The sequence below is a fragment of the Homo sapiens genome, chromosome 15 (assembly GCF_000001405.40).
Source record: "Homo sapiens chromosome 15, GRCh38.p14 Primary Assembly".
NCBI classification, from domain to species: Eukaryota; Metazoa; Chordata; class Mammalia; order Primates; family Hominidae; genus Homo; species Homo sapiens.
Window position 1 is genome coordinate 77,856,351 of NC_000015.10, and position 21,611 is coordinate 77,877,961.

The following is a 21,611-nucleotide window of genomic DNA, read 5'->3' on the forward strand; positions in this document are numbered from 1 at the left end:
AAAAAAAAAAAAGGAAAAAGGAAAAGCAGAGATAAATTTATGTTTGAAAGGGCAAGAGGGCCTGGACATAGTGGTTCACACCTGTAATCTAAGCACTTTGGGAGGCCAATGCAAGAAGATCACTTGAGGCCAAGAGTTTGAGGCTTCAGTGAGCTATGATCACACCCCTGCACTCCAGCCTGGGCAACAGGGAGAGACCCCATCTCTTAAAAAAAAAAAAGAAAAAAAAGATAAGGGAGTAATACATACAAAATTCAGCATAGTGCTGACCTCTGAGGAGGCGGCAGGGAGAAGGGAGAGGGACAGAGGGAGGGGCACAAAGGTAGGTACAAATATTGTTAAGGTTCCAGATCTTGGGTTGAGCTCTGAGTTTAAAGGTGCTTGCTGTGTTATTGCAAACACATTTATTAATTACAGTGGCCCTGCATGAGCCAATAGTAACAGTGCATCCTAACTAGGGGGTGTGATTAACTCAATTGTGTGTACCTGAGGTTCATTTAAAAAGGAAAAGAAAAGGACTATTGCTCAACTATGAGCTGGAAACTCAGTACTGGGTGTGCCCAAGGGGAGCATGCAATCTCATCTTGTAGGCAATGGGCACCCACTGAGGGTATAGGGGAGGGCAAGGGTGGGGCTCAGAGGTGTGTTTTTTCTCCTAATTCCCTAAGGTCCAGGACCTGAGATTCCATTCCCCACAGCCCCTCCTCCAGGCCCCCAGGAAACTCTCACTCTAGCCAGCTGGTTAGAGGTGGGAGACAGGATGATCACAGAGACTTTGTTCCTGGCAGCTTGTCAAACCTGCCACAAAGCCTCATTTCAATGTATTTGCATGAAATGATTTTATCCCAGCTGCCTCCTCGTCCCTGCCCCCACCCCAGGGGCCCTTGCAGGCCTGGCTCCCAGGCAGTGACCTTACAGGCCCCTGGACCAATCCCAGACCCCCTTTGATTATATCAAGTTTATTGGTAAGAATTCTGCTTTTCCTGCATGCTGGGAATCATGAATCTTACACAACTTTCTCTCTTTCATGATCATTGCAGTCCATGGGGAGCCGCTGAGGAGTTGTAGGCAGGGGGGACGTGGTGGGATGTGCAAGGTGGAAGCTCACTCTGGCTGACAGGGAGGGACAAGGGTGGAAGTAGGGAGACCACCAAGGCAGGAAAGGGAGGACATCTGGACTGGGGAGGGACAGAGGGACGGAGCCATGGAGCAGATCTGAGAGCCACTCAGAAGGTAGGACCACGGAGCTCAGCAGCGAGTCCCAAGCCCAGCTTCATGGCCACGGGGAGGAAACAGAAGCAGTCCTGTCCCCCGGACTCTGGGCACCACAGGTCACAGCTAAGGCTGAAGCCAGATTGGATGGTCCAGTGCCAGAGAGAGGAGTATGGGGTCGGGGGGCAGGAGGGAGGCAGGGAATAAGTGACTATTTGTCATTGGACCTTTAGAGCTATTTGAGTATATTAATTTGACCCCAAGATTTCAACGAAAAAAAAAAGAAAGCACATTAGAGTCAGACTGCCACGGCCTTGGACATTCACTATCCACACCGCACAGGCAAGCTGCAGGCAGTTCACGACCCCTCAAGATAGTGCACCGAGTTGGTTATGTGGATGCAGATTTTTTCTGAAAAGTATGTTCTATTGAATTCTCAAAAGGGCCTGTGACCTGGCAATAATGATAATACTTAACATTTAAATACACTAACATGGTATATACCATATGATATAGATACAGACATAGACATACAGACACATAAACAGACATGGATACAGATACAGATCAACTCATTTAATCCTCTCAATGGCTCAAGGAGGAACATTGTATTGTCATGTCCATTTTATAGATGTAGGGACTGAGGTACCAGGAGGTTCAGTGGCTTGCTGAAGCTTGCTCAGTTAGTGAGATTTGAGTCTAGAGTTTCAGCCACAACTCTGGCCCCATCTGGTCTAATACTGAACTTGTCAGGTAGACAAATGAGACCCCGGGGCACAGAAGCGTTCACCCTGGGTTCCACCAACAGAGAGTGCTGGCCCCTGTGGACTCACAAACATCTGTGCTCCCAACCCTTCTTGGGCCTCTCACTTCAAGAGTAATAGGAAATCTCAAGGCCAGGTGCAGTGGCTCACGCCTGTAATCCCAGCACTTTGGGAGGCTAAGGTGGGCGGATTACTTGAGGTCAGGAGTTTGAGACCGGCCTGGCCAACATGGTGAAACCCCATCCCTACTATGAATACAAAAATTAGCTGGGCGTGGTGGTGGGGACCTGTAATCCCAGCTACTGGGGAGGCTGAGGCAAGAGAATTGCTTGAACCTGGGAGGCAGAGGTTGCAGTAAGCCAAGATATCACCCAAGGTCCAAAGAGCCTGGGCAACAGAGCAAGACTTCACCTCAAAAAAATACAAAAATAAAAACACAACAAAACACACACAAAAAAAGAGCAATAGGAAATCTTGGTCCCTCCCCTCATCCATGCCCACAGCTGGGAAGGTGGTTTGGTGCCAGGGACATCTCAGGAGCAGGTGTGGAGCAGGGGAGAGCTCCCACCCGCCAGCACTACCGCTGCTACTGACAACCTAGGTCCCAATGCAGGGAGAGCCCAGCCAGGCAGCCCTCAGCAGGGACAGTGTATTAGCCTGTTTTCATACTGCTATAAAGAACTGCACGAGACTGGATAGTTTGTGAAGGAAAGAGGCTTAATTGACTCACAGTTCAGCGTGGCCAGGAAGGCATCAGAAAGCTTACAATTACAGCAGAAGGTCAAGAGGAAGCAAAGAACCCTCTTCACAAGGTGACAGAAAAGAGAAGTGCTGAGCAAAGTGGGAAGAGCCCCTTATGAAATCATCAGATCTCGTGAGAACTCACTCACTATCACGAGAACAGCATGGAGGAAACCATTCCCATGATCCACGAATTACCTCCACCTGGTCTCTCCTTGACAGGTGGGGAAAATGGGGATGATAACTCAAGATGGGATTTGGGTGGAGACACAAAGCCTAACCATATCAGACAGGGATCCCCGTCCTCCATAACCATCCCTACTGTGTCCCTAGTCTCTCTTCCCCACCTCCACCCTCCGCTCCATCTGAGACTGAGGAACAGGAGCGGGCTGGTGACCTTGGGCGGGGCCTGGCACCTGGAACCTCAATTACCCTGCCTCTCCTCCCTGTAGTCCCACCCCCGAAAGTGTTGGGCCCTGCCCACTGGGATGTGTCCTCCAAGGCCTTGCCTGAGTCTGGCCCTGCCTCCCTCAGGAGTGTGTGAGCCCCTGAGCCAGGCTAAAGGCCACCTCCAGGGAACTGTGGCAGAGGCAGGAGCCTGGAGAAGAGGAGGGGGAGAGGAGGCCCATGGGCAGATGCTGGGCCCCCAGACCTCTGAGAGGGGCCTGAGCCAGTGCTCACACCTGGGTCTGAGAGTCCCCTGTAGGACTCCATGTGGGGCCAGATGACAGGATATGACAACATGGTATAAGTCAGGTGCCAGACCCTGAGTCTGCAGAGGCCCAGACAGGACCAGGGGCTTGCTCAAGACACCACAGAAGGTCCAGCTGCACCAGGGGAAGGGAAGCCTCGTGTCCCTGGATGGCAGGGGAGGAGGGATTGTCTAGGGCAGGGATGGAGCTTGGAGGAGGGCTAGAACTCTGAGAAGGAGGATCAGAGGGGCTTCCTGGAGGAGGAAGACACAGGAGGGGTCCCCAAGGTAGGGGTGTTCAGACAGGCTTAGAAGAGGAGGGCCACGAGCAGGACAGGTTCAGGCGAGGCAGGAGGTGGCCAGAGTCAGACCTCCTGATGGGGGTGTGTGGGGGACTTTGGACCAGAGCCTGTGAAGGCCCCATTGAGTGGAGAGTCCACTACTGGACCTACTCCTCCACCCAGGACAGAACCGAAACTGGTGCCAGCCTCAGCCTGGCAGGAAATTCCTGTTATCCTAACAGTCTGGGGAGGTTGGTCTGGGCCCCCTCCCCCCACCTCAGACTGGGGCCTGCAAGTCAGGGTTCTGTTTCACCACGGTCATCCCAGGGCAGGACTGTGGCCCTCCATAGCCCCACCCCACCCTGGGCCCCAGCAAGCAGCCCTGAACCAGATTTCCCCAGGTTCCAGCCTCCGCCAGCACAGAGCGGGCTATTCGTAGAGGGCTCTCTGCAGCAGCGGGTTGGCTCAGGGGTGCCAGCGTGGTCGGCAGTGTTCTCAGCTTTTCACTCTTGCAGGGAGTGGTTCTCCCACCCAGCATGCTCCAGTGAGCAGGGTGACCTGAGCAGCTGTGAATCTCCTCATCAGCTGAGCCCCCAGGTGGTCACAGGAGAGGAGGCTGCAGCAGACCCTCCCTCTGCCTCCCACAGCCCTGCTGCCCCTGGGCCACTCTGGCCCCCTCGTCATGGGAACCAAGGGTAATGATGGGGTAGCCCAGTGGACCTCATAGCCTAGACTGTATCATGTACATGGTGCTTCATGGGAGGTAAGGAACATGCTGGAGCCGGCGAGCCCCACCTGCCTCAGCCCCTCAAAGAAGGACCCCCAGAGGAGGGTGGGCCAGGCATAAGTCACCATCATAAGGAGGAATTTGTTGAAGAGAGCCCCATACTCCCCTTGAAAGAGATCAGAAACTCCAATGTTTTGGGGGGCTCAGTGGGCGCCAGGAGGGACACTGTCTGCTTGCAGGTTGGGTGTTTTGCTTGTAAATGGCTCGTGCCATTCTTTGGCTCCACAGAGGGAGAGATGCGCACTGTGTTGACAGGGCTCCTTGCATTTTAAGAGAACTTTAAAATGCAGAATTTGTGGTGGAATCTCTCAGGTTTTTGTTTTTTTGCTTTTTTTTGTTTTTTTTTTGAGGCGGAGTCTTGCTCTGTCGCCCAGGCTGGAGTGCAGTGGTGCCATCTCGGCTTACTGCAAGCTCCCGCCTCCTGGGTTCACACCACTCTCCTGCTTCAGCCTCCCGAGTAGCTGGGACTACAGGCGCCCGCCACCACACCCGGCTAATTTTTTGTATTTTTAGTAGAGACGGGGTTTCACCATGTTGACAAGGATGGTCTCGATCTCCTGACCTCATAATCTGCCCGCCTTGGCCTCCCAAAGTGCTGGGATTACAGGCATGAGCCACTACGCCCGGCCGGGATCTCCCAGGTTTTAAATGTTGACAACCAGGTCAAATTTCAAAAGAATGCATGGTTTAAACAAAACACATCCAGGAACCACACTGCGGGCCAGGAGATGGAAGCAAGGCATCCATGGTGTGGCCCAATTTTCCAGGGCTTCCTCGGCCCCATATCAGCAGGTGCGCTTATGGGAGCCCCTGCATGCCAGATGGGGGAAGCAAGCCTCAGGACCCCAGATCCCCAAAGACAAGGCACCACACTTTACGGCCCCTCCAGCATTTTCCAAAGGGTGGTCCAGAGAAACTTGTTCTTGGTGTTATTCATAGACCTTCCTTATTTAGAGCCAAAACACTCTGGGAATCTCGGGGTTAAATAAATCAAAACAGACTTCTTTACTCCAGGACCTCTGGGAGCGTTTCACCTGTTACAGTGCCTTGTGAGTATCCAGGAGGCAGAGGCTGTGCAGCGCTTCCCAAACCAATTCCACATGGAACCCATTTTCAAGATATACCTGTTAATTCCAGAAAGACGCTACTGCCCCATAGAATGCAGTTCTAGAAGCGGAGCTCAACACACCACCCACCCATTTCACAGACCCAGCCATCCCAGGGTGGTGGGAGCCCAGGCTGGGGTAGGGAGGGGCAGAGGAGCTGCCAGACTGTCAGGCGCTGGTCAGGAGCAGGGCTTGTCCTGAGGACAGTGGCAGCACCCAGGAGGAGCAGACTGAAGGAGCCAGACCCCCTAGGAGGCCCCTGCTGTCATCCAGGGGACAGGGAAGGGGTGGAACCAGGCCTGAGGCAGGGAGGTGGGTGCAGAGTGGATGCCTCCCAGGGAGATTTTACAAGTGGAAGGAACAGTCAGAACTTGGTGACTGGAAGCCTGTGTGGAGTGTGGGGGAGGGAGGAGGCGAGGACGAGACCAGGTGAGGGCTAAATGGGCAGAGCTCAGATGGAGACTCTGGGACCCAGGGGAGGGGTGCTCAGAGCCCAGGCTGGGGACCGGTTCCCTCCACGTCCCCTGACCCACGGCCCATCTCAGGGAGCTAGGCTCAAGCAAACTTCAGCCACCTGGAGTTCCCATGGCGACCACGGGAGAGGAGCCCCAGAAGACCTGGGCAAGCAGGAGGAGGAGAAGTGGGTCAGGGCACTGGGTGCTCAAAACCCGACCATCCCTCCCTCAGGATCCAGCAGTGGACCAGGGGGTGGCCAGGAGAGAGGCAGGGCCCTCCTGCTCCTGCTGCAAGCTCCTGTGCCCCGAGTCAGGCCGGAGGGGGACCCAGGTTCCTGCTGCTGTAGTGCCCCAGTGCCGCCCGGGCCCAGGCCTGGCTCCTTTCTGCCTCCAGCCGTCCTTCTCCCTCCCTCTGAGAGGAGAGGCGGGGGCGATTCCCATGATTGTCTCTCCCGTTGCCCCCACAGCCACCAGGCTAATTTTAGCCCTGCCATCAGGCTGCAGCCGGGGGCGTTGGGTTGGAGAGAGCTGTGTGTCTGTCCAGTTCTGAACACAGGCCCTGGGGGCCCAACAGGAGGCCCAGATGGGTGGCCCTACCCAGACAAATGGCTCAGCCAAACAGGCCCTCCCGACACCCCATGCCACCCTGCCTCCCTGTGGGCCTTCTTCCTCCCACGGGGACCCCTCTGGGGCCTCCCGCTGCCTGCCAAGCAACAGCCACACCCTGTTCACTCTTTGGTTAATCCCCACTGCTCTAGGTGTTCTCACTAACCAAGTTAGGCTGGTGGTTAGTCGTCAGCTCCTCCCGCCCTGCTGCCAAGCTGGGCCTTTGTTCCCGTGGTTCTATCTATTCTCCCCAGGGTGTTTCCAGCAACCTTGGAACCAACCACACATTAAAATCCCACCTTGTGTTACACGTCAAATATCCCCGCTCCGTGAAGCATCCCCAACTCCTCAGCCAGAGCTGAGTTCTCCCTTCCCTGAGCACCTCGTGCTCCTTACAGCCTGGTATTCGGGCATCTGAGGACTCTCTGACTCCCACATGAGACCCTCATCTCCTCGAGAACAGGGTCTGAGTCCTGTTCATCTAGTTGCCCCATAAGCCCAGCCTGGTGCTGGGCATACAGCAGGCATTGCTGCAGCCTGGGCGGGTGGTTGGAGCTGGGGTGAGGGTCGCCTCTGGGCGAGGCTGCTGATGCCATCTCAGTCACTAGTTTGCCCTGTGGTTGAGGTCCCTGCCCGCTTCCCACCCTGATCTAAGGAAGACTGCCTCACCTCCAGGCCCCCATGGCTCCTGGCTGCCCTGCAGAAAGCAATGAGTGTCTGACCCCAGAGGCCAAGCCTGGGACATGCAGAACCTCTGGCCTGATCATAAACGACTCAGGCCAGACTGTCACCTTAGTAACTTGAACCAGGACCTCCCAAGCGATGTAGTTCATTCATGCAGAGGCAGAACCCAGATCACGCCTCTAGAGCAGCTGAATGCAGGTCAGGGCCACATGGGGGGACCCCGAGTTATGGGGGAGCAGAACCCCAAGGAAGATGAAGAAGCCCATGAGAAGGGAGGAGAGAGCAGAGGAGACCCTGGGGCGCAGCCAGTGGGGAGAAGCCCCTGTTACCACTGCAGCCAGACGCCTGGCTGCACACACATGACCCAGAGAACAGATTCGGTGAAGACCATTCCATTTAACTGGCAAAGTGGGATCATTCCCGCAGAGTGGAAAAGAGCTTTTCCTGCCACCCGGAGCCAAGATGTGGCCCCCTCCAGGAAGAACTGAGGAACAAGGGCTTTAGAGCCATTTTGAGGAGCATCCCGGGAGTTCCAGGACGGCCAGGCTGCCGAGGTGATGGGGGAAGGGCTGAGAGGAGGAGGCAAATCCAGAGGTGCCCTGAGCTGGAGCCCACAGCCTGCACTCGCTGCTGTGCTCCTGGAAATGCCACTGAGCTGATGCTGGAACCGCTGAGAGGCACGTGTCATGCAGGTACTGGAGCCTGCCAGCACCTCCTCGTGGAAGAACTGAACGAGAAGCAGCACGCAAGGGGGTGTGGAGAATGTGCCCCGCAGACGTCTATCCTGCTGCCCAGACAGCACAGAAGGGCCAGTGTGGGGCCCAGAACCAACAGCAAAGTCACCTGGGGGAGACCCAGAGAATCCACTGTGGCCTGTGCCCTCGCACCCAACTCGAGGACTAGGACAGACAGGAGAGCCTGGCGGTGGGGTAGCGGGGGCTAGGGGCTGCACTACCTCTCACTTTCTGCAGCCACAGGAGAGCGGCCAGCCAAGGCTGCGGCTGACCAGGCAGTTGGCCTGTGGCTGTCCATCCAGGCACCTGGATGCCCTGACCTGTGGGTGTTTCTGGCAGGACAGGCCTGGAGGGCAGGGCCCGGGCAGGCATCACTCACTGTGAGGACTCTGCCTCAGAGAACCCCTGTTGACAGTGGGGGAGGGAAACATGAGAGAGGCAGGCAAGGAATAGGAGGCACGGTTCTGCTACCCCCACCTCAGCCTCAGCCCTCCCTCCATGGAGCCCCACCTGCCCCCATCAATGCTACCTGACTCCACCCCCACCCCTGCTCTGTGCAGGGCCCCGGGGCCACTCAGCCTGGAGTGTTCATGATTCACTGCCTGCATCCCACACAAACAGATTCCACCGCTCGGCCCAGGCAGCAGGTGGCTGTCCAGGCCCTGCCTCCCAGTGCAGGCTCCTGTTCAGGGCAGGGAAGCCCAGCCTCCATTTCCTGGGAAGAGGAGACTCGGGGACCCTGGAAGGGAGAACGCTCCACACCCCCCAGTAGAGGCTGGTGGCTTTCTGCTGTGGGAAGGTGGGTGCCCTGAACACAGGGTCCCAACCCAAAGAGAAAGATGCCCCTCAGCATGTGAAGGTGGCAGGAACCAGGGTGCTCAAGTCTGAGCTCCAGCTCTAGGAGGAGAGGCAGGGAGTTGCCTTGGGGCCTCCATTTGTGTACCCGTTGAGAATGAGCACATTCCTTAGATGGTGGAAGGGTCTGGATAAGCCAGCATGGGGCAAGACCCATGTCCTCTCTGGAGGATGTCAGAGAGAGAGCTGCCTGCCAGTGGGCCGTGACCTCCACCCCGGGTCCTGCTGCTTCCCTTCCAGGCTGAGGGCTTTGGGTGTGCTGGGCTGCGGCCAGACTCTTGGAGGCCACCATTGGCCATGTGCCTCTCCTCTCTGGCTTCTGGCCTGCTCCAGAGTGGACCCGGGTCTTGCCCCATGCTGGCTTATCCAGACCCTTCTACCATCTGTTTCCCTTGAGTGAGTTTCTAAGGGCAGGACCTAGGGTGTCATCTCTGCTTCGCAGCTCAGAAGCACCCATGGGCAGGATTGGAACGCCTCTGATTTTATCCAAGTGCACCAGGGCTGGGCACACACCAGGCCTGACACAGATGTGGTTCCATCCCTCCCAAGCAAGGAGATGCTGGAGGAGGAGAAGGCAGGAGAGGCCCCAAAGGCCTAGGACGGAGCAGGCCTAGGAATGATACCCCCTGCCTTGCCCCACCTCACCCCAGCCGGCAGATCCCAAGGAGCCACTTCTCCAGGAGAAGGGATCCAGGTGGCCACTGGCGGTCATAAAGCCATCTGGAAAAGCCTCTTGATGGTCAAGCACAAGTGCCCAAGCCCCCGCAGGTAGCAGAGCCAGTAAATTACGGCTGAGGGCTGCACACCCTCCCCTCTGTATTTATATCTGCCTTGGTGCCTAAAAATGGATATTTATGCATTTTCAATATTCAGGGCAAACGCTCCATCGCTCCATGCTCATGGCTGCAGCACATGACACCAGCCCCACAACAACTTTCCTTTCACCTGGTTTGCCCACTCAGGGCCCTGGAAGGGAGCCCCCCACCCCCTTCTGCAGGCCTGCATGACTCAGGGGGGAGTAGAGGGAAGAAAGGGACCGGGCCAGCCTCCTTGTGGAGCCTCAGGGCCCTCTCGGAGACAGGGCCGGTCCCCCTGCTTTATAGACCAGCAACCGAGGCTCAGAGAGGTGGGGTGCCTGGGCGGGGTCACACAGCATCCTCTCTAGGCCAGGGTCATGCCCCAGGCCCTAAGGTGACTCCCTCCTGACCAGGGAGAGTTGCAGAGCCCGGCTGCCTTTCCGGACCCTCAGACCTTTTTTGTTTCTCTGGTTCTCTCTAGCGTCTTCTCTGTGTGTCTCTGGGTCTGACTCTCACCATCCCGGCCCCTCTCACATCTTTCTCCATCTCTTGCTTAGTGTCTCCCCATCTCTCTCACTGCCCCCCATCTCCCTATTTCACTCCCACCCCGCCCCACCTCCCCTCTCTCCTGACTCACATCCTCCCTCCCCCTCAGAGCCCCTGTCCTTGTCCACCTCCATCTCCCTGACTCTGTCTCATTGCTGAGGTCAGGGCAGGGGTGGGAGGAGCTGTCCTGGTGCCCAGCAGGGGCCTCCCTGGGCAGCTGTGTCGCCCCCACCCCGGACCTGTGATAGGAGAGTCCCCAAGGCCCTAAGCCAATGCAGGCACAGAGCAGAAGTGGGACTGAGCGTGGGAGGTTTGGGGTTGGGGGGCAGGTTTCCACTCGGTGGGAGCAGGTGAAAGCTGTGCATGCCCTGTCCCCAGAGCTGTGTGGAGGGGGCACTGCGGGTGGACTTCTGTGCCAGCCCCACCACTTGACCTTGAACGTCCCGTCTGGTTCTGGGATTGGGGCTGAGTGATGAGGTCCCTGGGCCTGCCCTAAGCTGAAAAGGTTAATGCCCCTGGGCCCAGGGTCCCTCAGCCTCCTCACTGCCCACACCAGCTCCTTCACCTTCACCCTCCTGCTGCCCCTCTCCCCTCTCCTTTCCTCTCCTCTCTCTCTCATTTCATTCTTCTCTTCCTCCTTCCCTCTTTTTCTCCCTCTGCTGGGAATGAGAAGAATTAATTAAATGTGTCCTCAACTCCAGTCTCCTCACTTCCTCCAGGGAATTAGCCACTCCCTGCTCCTTGGGCCTTGTTAGATTCCAAGAAAAAAATAACTGGTGTGTGCTCTGCATGCATGTACGTGTGCACGTGGGCCTCCCTGCACACACAGTGGTACGCCCCGGGCTGGTCTGCAGGTTTGTCAACACGTACTCATGTGTGTACAATTCCATGCACACTCCGGAGTCTGGAGACAGGACTGTATGTTTGTGTGAATACACGCGTGCATCTCCTGGGGTGCACGTGCACCTATGTTCCATATGGGTCTCTATACGTGTGCACTGTGGGGCTTCACACTGAAACCCACCCCTGTGTGTACACGTCTCTGTTGGATCCGTGTGCTTGCACCGTGTGTCTGGGGAGTTGCGCGTTACCGTGCAAGTCTCTGTGTTGTGTGTGTGTGCGCTAGACCTATGTGCACACCTCTATTAATGCAGTATGTGTGTACATGCATATGAGCATATCTGTGTGCCGGCGTCTGTGTGTCTGTGTGTGCAACATACACGCACCCTTGCCACCCTGCACACATCTCCTTCCTGGCTCCCTTGAGCTAGCAGCCTTGTCCCCAACAGGAGGCCCATCGTGCCGCATCTCTGGAGTGATGGCAGTGGTGGCAGTGGCAGTGTGGGTATCAGGAGCCTGCAGGTGGGAAGGTGGAGGTGGCGCAGGGGAAGGTGCTTGCTAATGAGGCCATCTTCCTTGCCAGCCTGAGAGTCGTTGCCACTAATGATCTCTTCAGTAAGCAGCTCCCTGGGGAAGGGTTGCTGCCAGAGCCCTGCTCTCTCCCTCCCCTGGGACTCTCCTTTCCCCACTTCCCCGAATCCCGAGGCGCTGCAAGAGCCATGAGCACCAGGATAAAGCACAGACAGAGCCAGGGGCCAGTGCCTGGTCCCACCAGGACCCAGGAGACTGTTCGCCTGCCCGTCAGCCTGCCACCAGGAAGCCCACCTTGTGATGAACCCTCTGTGTTAGGGCACAGTCTCCAAAAGGCCTCTGCAAGTCCACATATGCTTCTGGAGGAAGGGGCCCTGCACACCACAGACAGGGAGTGTGCTTCTGTAAAAGGAGCACTCAGCTGGGAGTCAGGCAGGCTGGCCACTAATCCCAGCGCTGTGTGACCTCGGGCAGGCCCTGCACCTCTCTGGACCTTGGTTTCCTTGTCTGTAAAATGGGGGAAGGCTAGAATGGCTGGTAAATGCTCAGCTCTGTGAGCCATCTGAACCTGCTTTGTTTCACCAATAAGGAATCACCCATAATGCGGGGAGAATAGAGCCACTCTAAACCTAAAGCAGGATTAGATGGTACATGGAGCTGAGCATTTGCTATTTTAACTTTGTGTTTACTTTCATGGATATATTTCATGTGTATATTTTCACATATATGTGTATATGTATGTGTCTGAGCGTGTATGTGCACATGTGTATGTGTACATGTGTGCGGGTATTTGACTAGTACATCAGACCCTGATTTCACAAATATGGCTAAAGACGAGGCTAAAACACACACTTAAATTTTAAAAGTAAGCTGATTTTTAAAAAACGCTAAGTAAAGAAGAGTTCCAGTGGCATCTGAGTGTAGCAAAAGTCCTGATGAAACATGACAAATGGCTGCAGCCCTGGCCTGAGTGGCCCTGTCCCCTTCCTGCCTAAGGGACAGTGGATTCGGGGCCCCGGCCTCCCTGGAATAAGAGATACACAGACTGGGCTCTGATCTCCCACCATGTCCTCACAGCCCCAAGACAGAATGCCATGCGGATTGGCAGGAGACCTCGCTGTGGGGTTGGTGGAGCCAACCCTCCAGGCCACAGGCCCCATGAGATCTCTGAGGCCACAGAGCGTGTCCACACGTGTGACCTCCAGGGTGATGCGGGCCAGGGCACACGAATGGCCCAGGCAGAGGTGGTCTGGGCAGAGGTGGCTCAGGCTGGGCCTGAGGCATCCTGGGGACTCAGCATCACATCTCCTCAGAGGGGCCATCTGAGACTGCTGGGCCCGTGAAGAGGCTTCTCCCCAGTACCCACCTGTCCAGGGGAGAACAGCCAGCCCCACAGCCCCAAATGTCTCTGTCCTCCAAGAGGCCGGATGTGAATCACAGGAATTTACAGCCTGGCCTGGCATGGGATTTACGAGTCTGCCTCCAGCCGGGGCTGGCGGGGAGTGGCTGCTGTCAGCCCCCCATTGCCGTGATGGATGAGGCTGTTTCCTGCAAGACAAACTCCCCTCTGTGGCAGGCAGTGGAGGGAGAAACATCCAGGCCCTAGGGCCAGCCCCATACCTGTCCCAAAGCCAGATTGCTCATGCCCTCCCTTGGATCTGCCCAAGATGGGACATACCACACTCAGAGCCAGAATGGATCTCTGAGGTAACCCAGAACACACACACACACACACACACACACACACACGCACGCATATATACACACACGTGCATGCATGCACATACACAGTACACAGATGAGGAACCAGGGTCCAGAGAGGAATGGGCCTTGCCCGAAGTCACCCAGCAGCACAGTGGTGAAGCTGAGACCCCAGCCCACAAGCCCCCTGGACTGGTCATTTCAGTGTCCGGTCACAGTGGACTGTCATATGGCCACGGGGGTAGTTTTCACCTCCAAACACGGGCATCTCTCCAGAGAACAGACAGTCCTGGGTTTGAGTCCCTGCCCCACCACTCTGTGTGTAAAGGTCATAACCTCTCTGTGCCCATTTCCTCACCTGAAAAATGGGGCTCAAAATAACCCCAACTTACCAAGGTTCTTACGAGGTTCAAGTGAGAGGATGCAGGTAGAGCCGCAGGACAGAGTGGGCCCCTGGCACATGCTCCCTGAGTGGTGACAATGGTTCTCCACCATCTCTCGTGTCTCAAGGGGCCCTGCTGCCTGATTTGCTGCGGGCAGGAGGACAGTCATGGTTGGGTGGAGGAGGAGGAGCAAGGAGAGTTCGAGTGTGGGACTGCAGGGCAGGAGTGAGGCCACTTCCTACTGGAGGAGACCCTGGAAGTCTCCCTGGAGGTGGTGGCGTCAAGCAGAGGATGTAGAACTCTGTTTCTCTTGCTCTGAAGCTGACTGGAGGCTTCTTGAGTGCCACAGGGACAGAGGGAAGCACCCTACACTGCACTGAAAGCCCAGCCCAAGCTTCTGCCCTGGATGACCTGAGGAGGAGTCCCTCCTTTCTCTGGGCATCCGCGAAATGGGGCCAGGGAGGACCAGACAACACGCAAAGGCGCCTTTCTGCTCTGGCCCTTGTGCAAGCTGAAGAAGGCTGTCCAGACTCACCCTCTGCAGTACCCAATTATTGCCACTGGGCGGAAGCAGGGAGTAAATCTGCGGTCCGGCCTCCTTTCCCTGCCGGCCAGTCCTTCCCTGCGCACCTGGTGATCTTTGCTCCTCCACCCGCCAGCCAGCTCGGCGGAGAGCCAGAGCTGAGGGTCCTTCACATCCAGACATCTGATGCTCCCCACAGCCCTGCAGAGAACCAGCATGGTGGCTGCATTTCAGATGGGGAAACTGATGGCCAAGAGGTGAGGACTTGCTCAAGGTCACGCAAGAGCCAAGTGTGCCCACAGCAGAGGCGGTGTGAAAGGAGACTGCGGTCACACGGACCTGGCTGGGATCCTGGTCCCCTCACCTCCGGCTGTGTGTCATCGGGCAGGTCACCCACCCTCTCTGAGCCTCAATTGATATAAGTGCTGAACACATGAAGCCACCACTTTGTTTCCAATAGAGTTTATGCCCCAAGAGTGCAAAGTCATGTCTGTCACTCACCTCAGCACCCCCAGAGCCTGGCACAGGGTGGGATTCAGAGAATAGCGCCTGCCTCCCGGGGCCTGCCTGGCACTCAGCAGATGCTGTGTCTCCTCAAAACCCCCAACAGCCCTGGATCAGCGTCGCCTTGTTCCCCTCCCATCAGTCCTTCCTGCAGGACACCGACCCACCCGGCCTTGAGGGGGGCTCCTGCTCACCTCCCCACCCCATCCCTCTCGTCCCCCTTTCTCTGTTCTGGCCTCTCCCTTGTGTCCCTCTCTCCTGCCGAGCCCCCACTTGGCTCTACGCTGTTTACAAGACAACGATGACAGTTTTTCTTTCTCTCTTTTGTCTCCCTTCCTCCCCTGAAGGGAAACGTGCTTCCAATCTTCCAGGAAAAAATGAAGGCTCCGGATGAGAAAAAGCAAACAAAGGACAGTGGGACCGTGGGTGTCCCCACCCCCGCCACCTGCAGGCCCCACATGCAAACCAGCGCCCGTGCCCACGCCCGTGCAGCCATCCTCCGCCAGGCCCCAAGAACGGCTCTGTTATTTTTGGGGTAATTGAAAATGTCGATCTTTATTCTAGAGGATAAGCAGGTCACAGGGACACAGGGAGCCAGAGAGAGAGAGAGAGAGAGAGAGAGAGAGAGAGAGAGAGAGAGAAAGGAAAGCCAGTCATGGGGGAGGATCTGGGGGAGAGAAAGGCCAGATGGGAGGACGTGGGCACTGAGAGGAAGAGGGAGCGGGAGAAACGGCAGGGGTGGGCAACTCCCTGCCAGTGAGCAAGGCCACGCGGCCCCTGACCCCAGGACTCAGGGGGATGTGTCCTCCCACCAGCTCCTGACCCCACCCTGTAAGGAGCTGGTGGCAGGAGCTCCTGTTTAGTCCTCCTGTGCCTGAGCAGCCCCGAGGGTGGGCATCTCTGAGTGCTGGGAGCAGGAGTGGGGACCTGGCTTGTCTTCATGGGAGTGCCCTCTCATGACCACGTGCACAGCGCCCAGAGGCCAGGCCCCAGGCTGGAGGGCTGAGAGCAGCCAGCGGTCCCCTCTCCTGGGGGAATGCAGGGACTCTTCTGACCTCCCTCCCATCAGCCATCCCACCTCTCTCTGGATGTGGCGGCATCTCATGGTTTGTGGACTTACTTCTCCAGGGCAGTGGGGGGCGCCAGTGAGCCTGGGTGGGTGCATATCTGTGCAGGAGATGAGATTCCTGGGAGAGAGGGACGGGGTGGGGTGGGGGGAGTAAGAGGTGTGGCTGTGCATGGCGTGGGGCCTGTGCGCATGTGTGGTATAAGTGTGGGTCGCGTCTGCTTTTTCCCGTGACTAGCATGAAGCATGCGTTTGAAGGCAGTGGTGGTACCAGGTGTGTGTGTGTGGAGTAAGGTGTGGGTCTGTGCATTTGTGTGTGTGTCTTGCTCCACGTGTGTGCGGTAAGGGACATGTGTGTGTGCACAGCCCCTACCTGTGTGCCTCCAGATGGTGTGTCCATGTGTCCCTGCAGGCAGGGCCCCTCTTCTGCTCCTGGCCCAGGGCCACCATCCCCCCAGGTCCTGGGAACCAGAGTGGCAGTTGGCCTTGGGGTTCCCTCCAGCAACAGTGGAACAACAGAGACCAGCCCCCACCCCAGCCAGTGTCCAGGAGGCTCGTGGGACTGTGATGTCAGCACCAAGCCCTGGCTGAGGTAACCCAACATGGAGCCAGGCCTGTCTTGCCCCCTAGAGAGAAGGGAGGAACCTCAGGTGGGCCTCCTGCCAGGCAGCGAGCCTCATCCACCCTCCAACGTCTCCTCGTGGCGGGAGAGGGTGAATTCCCACCCTCTCACTGACACAGCCTCAGACCTCCTGGAGGCCAGGGCTCCAGGTGAAGACCAAGTCTTCGTATCCCCGGACCCAGCCAGAGCCTGGCACAGGGCAGGAGCTTAGCAAATGTTTGTTGAATGAATGGATGGATGGATGGGGGCTTTGTGTGTGATCAAGTGCCAGGCTCTGGGGTCTAGTGACCTAAAGATACGGATTCAAGTCCTACAAGGATCAAACCAGGGCTTCCTGCAAGGTCAAGCGAGAACCCCCTGAGTTGTTCAGAAGGGGCCACGCAGCAGTTGGCCAGACCTGGAAGGCCGTGCCTGACCTTCTGCAGGTCACGTCTCTGGGGGCACTACCACAGGAAAGGCAACGTCAAGCGATGGGACTGCTTCAACCAAAGGTCAATCCCAAGCTAAACGACCCTGTCATTTTGCAAGCCGAGGCACAAGGGAGGCCCCATTCATCTTCCCTGGAGTCGGCATCCCTTTGATTGCGGGGCCATCTCTCATCTGAACATCTTCACCACCCCCCCAATATTCCTTCTGAACCCTCCATCCTCCTTCTCCCCTTCCCTTGGGACCATAAACCCACCCCAAGAGTGAGTCCTAGCTCCAGGGCCAGCTCCCAATCCTGCCCCTGTCTGGTGACAGCTGGGGCCAGGCTGAAGGTCTGTCCTAGACTGAGCCATAAAGGCAAAAATAATACTTAGTCCTAATAGAAGTAAAGCACTTCACCCCAGACGAGCCCTGGTCCTGGTCACCCACTGAGCCCTGGTCCTGGTCACACACAGGACCTAGACCTTTATTTAGAGATGGGCCACTAATCTGTCACGTGGGCTGGGCATGGTGGCTGAGGCCTGTAATCCCACTTTGGGAGGCGCAGGTGGGAGGATCACTTGAGGCCATGAGTTTGAGACCAGCCTGGGCAACATAGCAAGACCACGTCTCTACAAAAAAATTTAAAAATTAATCAGGTATGGTGGCGTGTGCCTGTAGTCCCAGCTACTGCAGTGAGCCAAGATTGTGCCACTGCACTCTGGCCTGGGCAACAGAGCAAGATCCTATCTCAAAATAATAATAATAATTGTCATATGACCAAATTTTTTTCCAGGCTCCGAGCGCCAGCTTCCTCATCTTTCCAACAGAAGGTCTTCGCCTGGGCTAAGTGTTAAATCAGAAAACCCCTATTCAGAGGTTGGCCTGCAGTTCCCTGACCTGGTAACACTGGGGAGCATTGGCTGCTGTCACCTGCCAGCTCCCACCCCCACCCAACACTTACAGACCAAGCATCACTAATTTTTGCAGCTGCCGTGATAAATGGCACTGTCTGCAAAATGACATCTGTCTAATCTGCCACAAGACAGACGGGTCCCCGAGCTCCCACAGCCTCCCGAGAGCCAGCCCAGGCCAGCCTTGTTGAGATGATGGGCAGACACAAAGCCCAGGGCCTGGGGGCAGGTGGGATGGAGAGGAGACCTCAGGGCCCAGAATCAAGAACATCCCTAGAGGGGTTTACCACAGGCTGTTTCCTAAATATTTAGTAGTATGTGTGCTTTTAAAAATATTCCAAAGAATATTATATCCTCTGTTCCTTTCTGACCAAAGTTAGGTCTTCAATTCAGTTTTCTTTTCTTTTTTTTTTTTTTGAAACAAGGTCTTGCTCTGTCTCCCAGGCTGGAGTGTGGAGTGTAGTGGTACGATCACAGCTCACTGCAGCCTCCATCTCCTGGGCTCAAGCAATCCTCCCACCTCAGCCTCCCAAGTAGCTGAGATGACAGGTGCCTGCCACCATGCTCGGCTTATTTTTGTATTTTTAGTAGAGACAGGGTCTCGCCATGTTGTCCAGACTGGTCTTGAACTCCTGGCTTCAAGTCATCTGCCCACCTCGGCCTTCCAAAGTGCATGGATTACAGGCTTGAGCCACCACACCCAGCCTCAATTTTCACTTTAAATTAAAACCTGGAAATTGTTCAGGTTTACAAGGATGAGCCATTAGACACCGGTTCTGAAGCAGTGCTCTCTTCCCATCTCCCTCTACTCTGCGGAACAGCGTGCCTCTGCCTAAGCCATTGGGTCTGGGGGCTCTTCTCACCCCCCTCCTCCCTCCCACTCCCTCCATGGCTCCCACCCTCCCTCCCAGCCCCTCCGCTGACCTCAGCCGCATCCCCTCCATGCCTCAGGCTGGCCTCGGGCTGCCAGGTCAAGGTAGAACTCCCCTCACACCTTCCTGTGTCCAGGAGTAGAGGTGAATTGGGGCTCTGGATGCCAAGAACGGAGGAAGGACAAATGCCAGCCCCAGAGACCCTCGCCTCCTCAAGACCAACAGGAGCTGGCGCCTGTCCACCCAGCAGCAGCAAAGCAAGAGCGGGTGCCGGCTGGGGTGGGTGGGCACAGGCCTGGGCTTGAAGATTGAGGTAACACTGCCCCCTCCTGGCTAATTCATGGCTGCTCCTCTGACAGGCACTGCCAGGCTAAGCTGTTGAGGCTGGGGACATAGCGAGTGACTCTCCACAACAGCATGTGACAAGCTGACCCTTCCCTGCAGTCTGCCCAACTGAGAGCTGCCTCTTGCTCTGCCCATCCTGCCCGAGCTAACAGCAGCCCCACCAGCTTGCTCCAGCTGTCTCTTGGTTGTCAGTCTTGCCTCTCCTCCAAGGGACTCGGGGGAGTCACAGACAGCAGGACCCTGGCATAAAAATCATCATAACCACCAGGCACTTCAGAGTTTATAAAGCTCCGGCGCTTCTGTTGAAGGCCATCATCCAAGCACCTCGGTGGCTGTACATTTTACGGATGAGGAAAGGGGTACAGAAAGGCGAAGTGACTTGTCTGTGGCCACATAAAAAAAGGCTTGGCAGGACCGGGCTCCTGGCTCCTGACCCCACCTTCTTTCCCCTGCCCTGCCCAGTGGCCAGCTCAGACCCACATCCCCTGACATCTACTGCAAGCCTCATTCCCAGCCCTAAGCAGGTATTTCTCACCCTCCTTCTGGGAGCCCCAACCCAGCCCTCAAGCAAATATATTCACAAATTTTTCATCCAGGTGGGGACTGTCCACTCTACTTCCAAGAGGCTCTGTCTGCAGGCAGCCGGCTGTCCACTGGGGCAGCACAGCAAGGGTTAACAGCAGGAACTAATATTTAGAAACAGCACTACCCCAGAGGAGTCAGCTGTGGCCAGCTGGTCACAGCCACTGAAGCCACCAGCCTTTGTGAGTGTGATATGGAAGACGAGTGCCTGCTCCTGGAAAGCAAAGGCTCCAAGAGGGTCCTTCACCACCCCGGCCCTTGTCCTCCCAGCACGGCTTGTGTGTGGCTCAGAGGCCAGGGCAAAGCCCTCCACCAGCCTCCCTTCCACAGCTGGCTCCTGAGGGTGGCAAACATAACTTTTCAGCTCCCGAACTGTGTAATTGTTGGGACTGGCTGCTCCCTCCCCTCCTGAGCCTGGCTGCCTGTACTTGGAGGAGCCCTGTGTGTGCCTCTGCCAGAAGCAGGATCAGGACCACTCCTAACAGAGGCCCCAGGTCAAAGGCCCAGGCCCAGGGCCCGCTGCCATGGAGCTCTTGGCCAGAAAACTGCAGGGCCACTGAGCCAGCGCCTAAAGCCCGTGCCCTCTTGCACAGTAGTGGCCTAGGTTCTGTGACCTTCATGGCAGAGGGCCAATTCCCTGAGGGCGGGCCCTGGGCAGCAGGAGCACACCCCTGCTTAGGCACCACCCCATCTAGGGCACAGGCACACACCATTTCCCAGCAAGCTGGCTTTGGCCACAGGCTTCTTGGGTGGGGCCCAGGCAACGAGGGTGCAAAACACCCTGGCCAAGGGTGGGGCCAAACCACAGCCACTGCCCAGAGCGGGGACTCTTAGTCCAAGAAGCACTAGAGGTAGGAGTGACCAGCAGTGCTTGGCCAGCATGGTTGGGTGAACTCTGCTGGCAGGGAGGTGAGTATTACTGGGCCCTCTGTTGTCTTGTTCTCCAAGAACAATTGGAGAAATGGAGGCAGCACATAACACAGGTCACTGTAGCTTCAGAGAAGTTTGAATCTTCTTTTGCCCCTGGGTGGGAACATCCTTCTTCCTTCTTATAAGTGTGTTCTAAGCCTCCTTCTTTCCTCCTCCCTCCCACCCTGTGCTCTGTCCCATGCTTGGCTGGGGAGGCATGGACGCACACCTCCTGACCCAGCTAAGCAGGCCCCAGGTGAAACTAGGAGAGCTACGGAGATCAGGATTCCAGGGAATCTTTTGAAAGAGAAGTCGACGTGCACGAAGGAGGGCTAGGAGGGCTTGTTGGAGGAAGGTGAGATGTGGTCAGGGAGGTAGGGGCAGTCAGGGATGGCCACCAAGGATGCCTGGCCAAGCAAAGTCATGGGAAAGGTTGGAGGGCAGAAGGAAGAAGGCCCGAGCCAGACCTGAGGATGCCAGAGAGGCCCAGGTCAGCTCTGTTCAGCACTGAGGCTTCAGGGCCTCGGGGGAGCTTGCTGAGGAGCTGGAGAGGGGACAGTTGAGGAGCAGGCACGGCTGGTCCAGCAGCCTTTGTTCCAAGACAGTGGGAGGTGGTCAGGGGTCAGTTCCAAAGGCACACAGGGGCCTCGACTTTCTGCCAGTCTGCCTGGCATGATGCTGCTCAGCATTGGTCCAGAGTTCCAGCCCTAGGTTACGGCTGAGCAAAGGCCAGGCCTGTGTGCGCTGGAGCCGCAGCATCCCTTTTTCACTGAGAGCCTCAGTTTCCTCATCTGGAAGCAGGGACACAGTTGGCCAACACATACGCTTCCCAAAGTTGTCAAGAGACCAGGTGAATGTTTTTTGTAAACTGGGAAGCCCCAGCAGAGATGCGCCAGCCGGGTTATTACCGCCGTGCTGGTTGCCATTATTTTCCAGGCCTGTGTTTCTCTGCCCAGCTAGCAACAAGGCAGGGGGAGGCTCCCAGCTAATCCAGACTTGAATCTCAGCTGTGGGTGGGAGCGCCCTGTCTGGAGGCTCCACAGACATCTGTGTAGGTGGGGAGCAGGGAAGATGGGGAGGGGGAACGGCGGGGGAGATGGGGCCAGCAGAGATCTTCACCCAAATTTTTGATTCATAGAACAAAAAGCCTTCTGT

The 21,611-nt window shown here is 56.6% G+C and overlaps 5 annotated features.

Moving 5' to 3' along the window:
• Window positions 2,865-2,914: an enhancer, noted in NCBI's record as "active region_9899". NCBI's record gives its function as "activates an Ori minimal core promoter by ATAC-STARR-seq in GM12878 lymphoblastoid cells {active_cell/tissue: GM12878}" and the evidence as "EXISTENCE:reporter gene assay evidence [ECO:0000049][PMID:35858748]".
• Window positions 8,109-8,614: an enhancer, noted in NCBI's record as "H3K4me1 hESC enhancer chr15:78156801-78157306 (GRCh37/hg19 assembly coordinates)". NCBI's record gives its function as "activates a minimal SCP1, AML or CMV promoter by ChIP-STARR-seq in naive H9 embryonic stem cells {active_cell/tissue: H9 hESC(naive)}" and the evidence as "EXISTENCE:reporter gene assay evidence [ECO:0000049][PMID:30033119]".
• Window positions 8,615-9,120: an enhancer, noted in NCBI's record as "H3K4me1 hESC enhancer chr15:78157307-78157812 (GRCh37/hg19 assembly coordinates)". NCBI's record gives its function as "activates a minimal SCP1, AML or CMV promoter by ChIP-STARR-seq in naive H9 embryonic stem cells {active_cell/tissue: H9 hESC(naive)}" and the evidence as "EXISTENCE:reporter gene assay evidence [ECO:0000049][PMID:30033119]".
• Window positions 12,516-13,016: an enhancer, noted in NCBI's record as "H3K4me1 hESC enhancer chr15:78161208-78161708 (GRCh37/hg19 assembly coordinates)". NCBI's record gives its function as "activates a minimal SCP1, AML or CMV promoter by ChIP-STARR-seq in naive H9 embryonic stem cells {active_cell/tissue: H9 hESC(naive)}" and the evidence as "EXISTENCE:reporter gene assay evidence [ECO:0000049][PMID:30033119]".
• Window positions 14,881-15,719: an enhancer, noted in NCBI's record as "H3K4me1 hESC enhancer chr15:78163573-78164411 (GRCh37/hg19 assembly coordinates)". NCBI's record gives its function as "activates a minimal SCP1, AML or CMV promoter by ChIP-STARR-seq in primed H9 embryonic stem cells {active_cell/tissue: H9 hESC(primed)}" and the evidence as "EXISTENCE:reporter gene assay evidence [ECO:0000049][PMID:30033119]".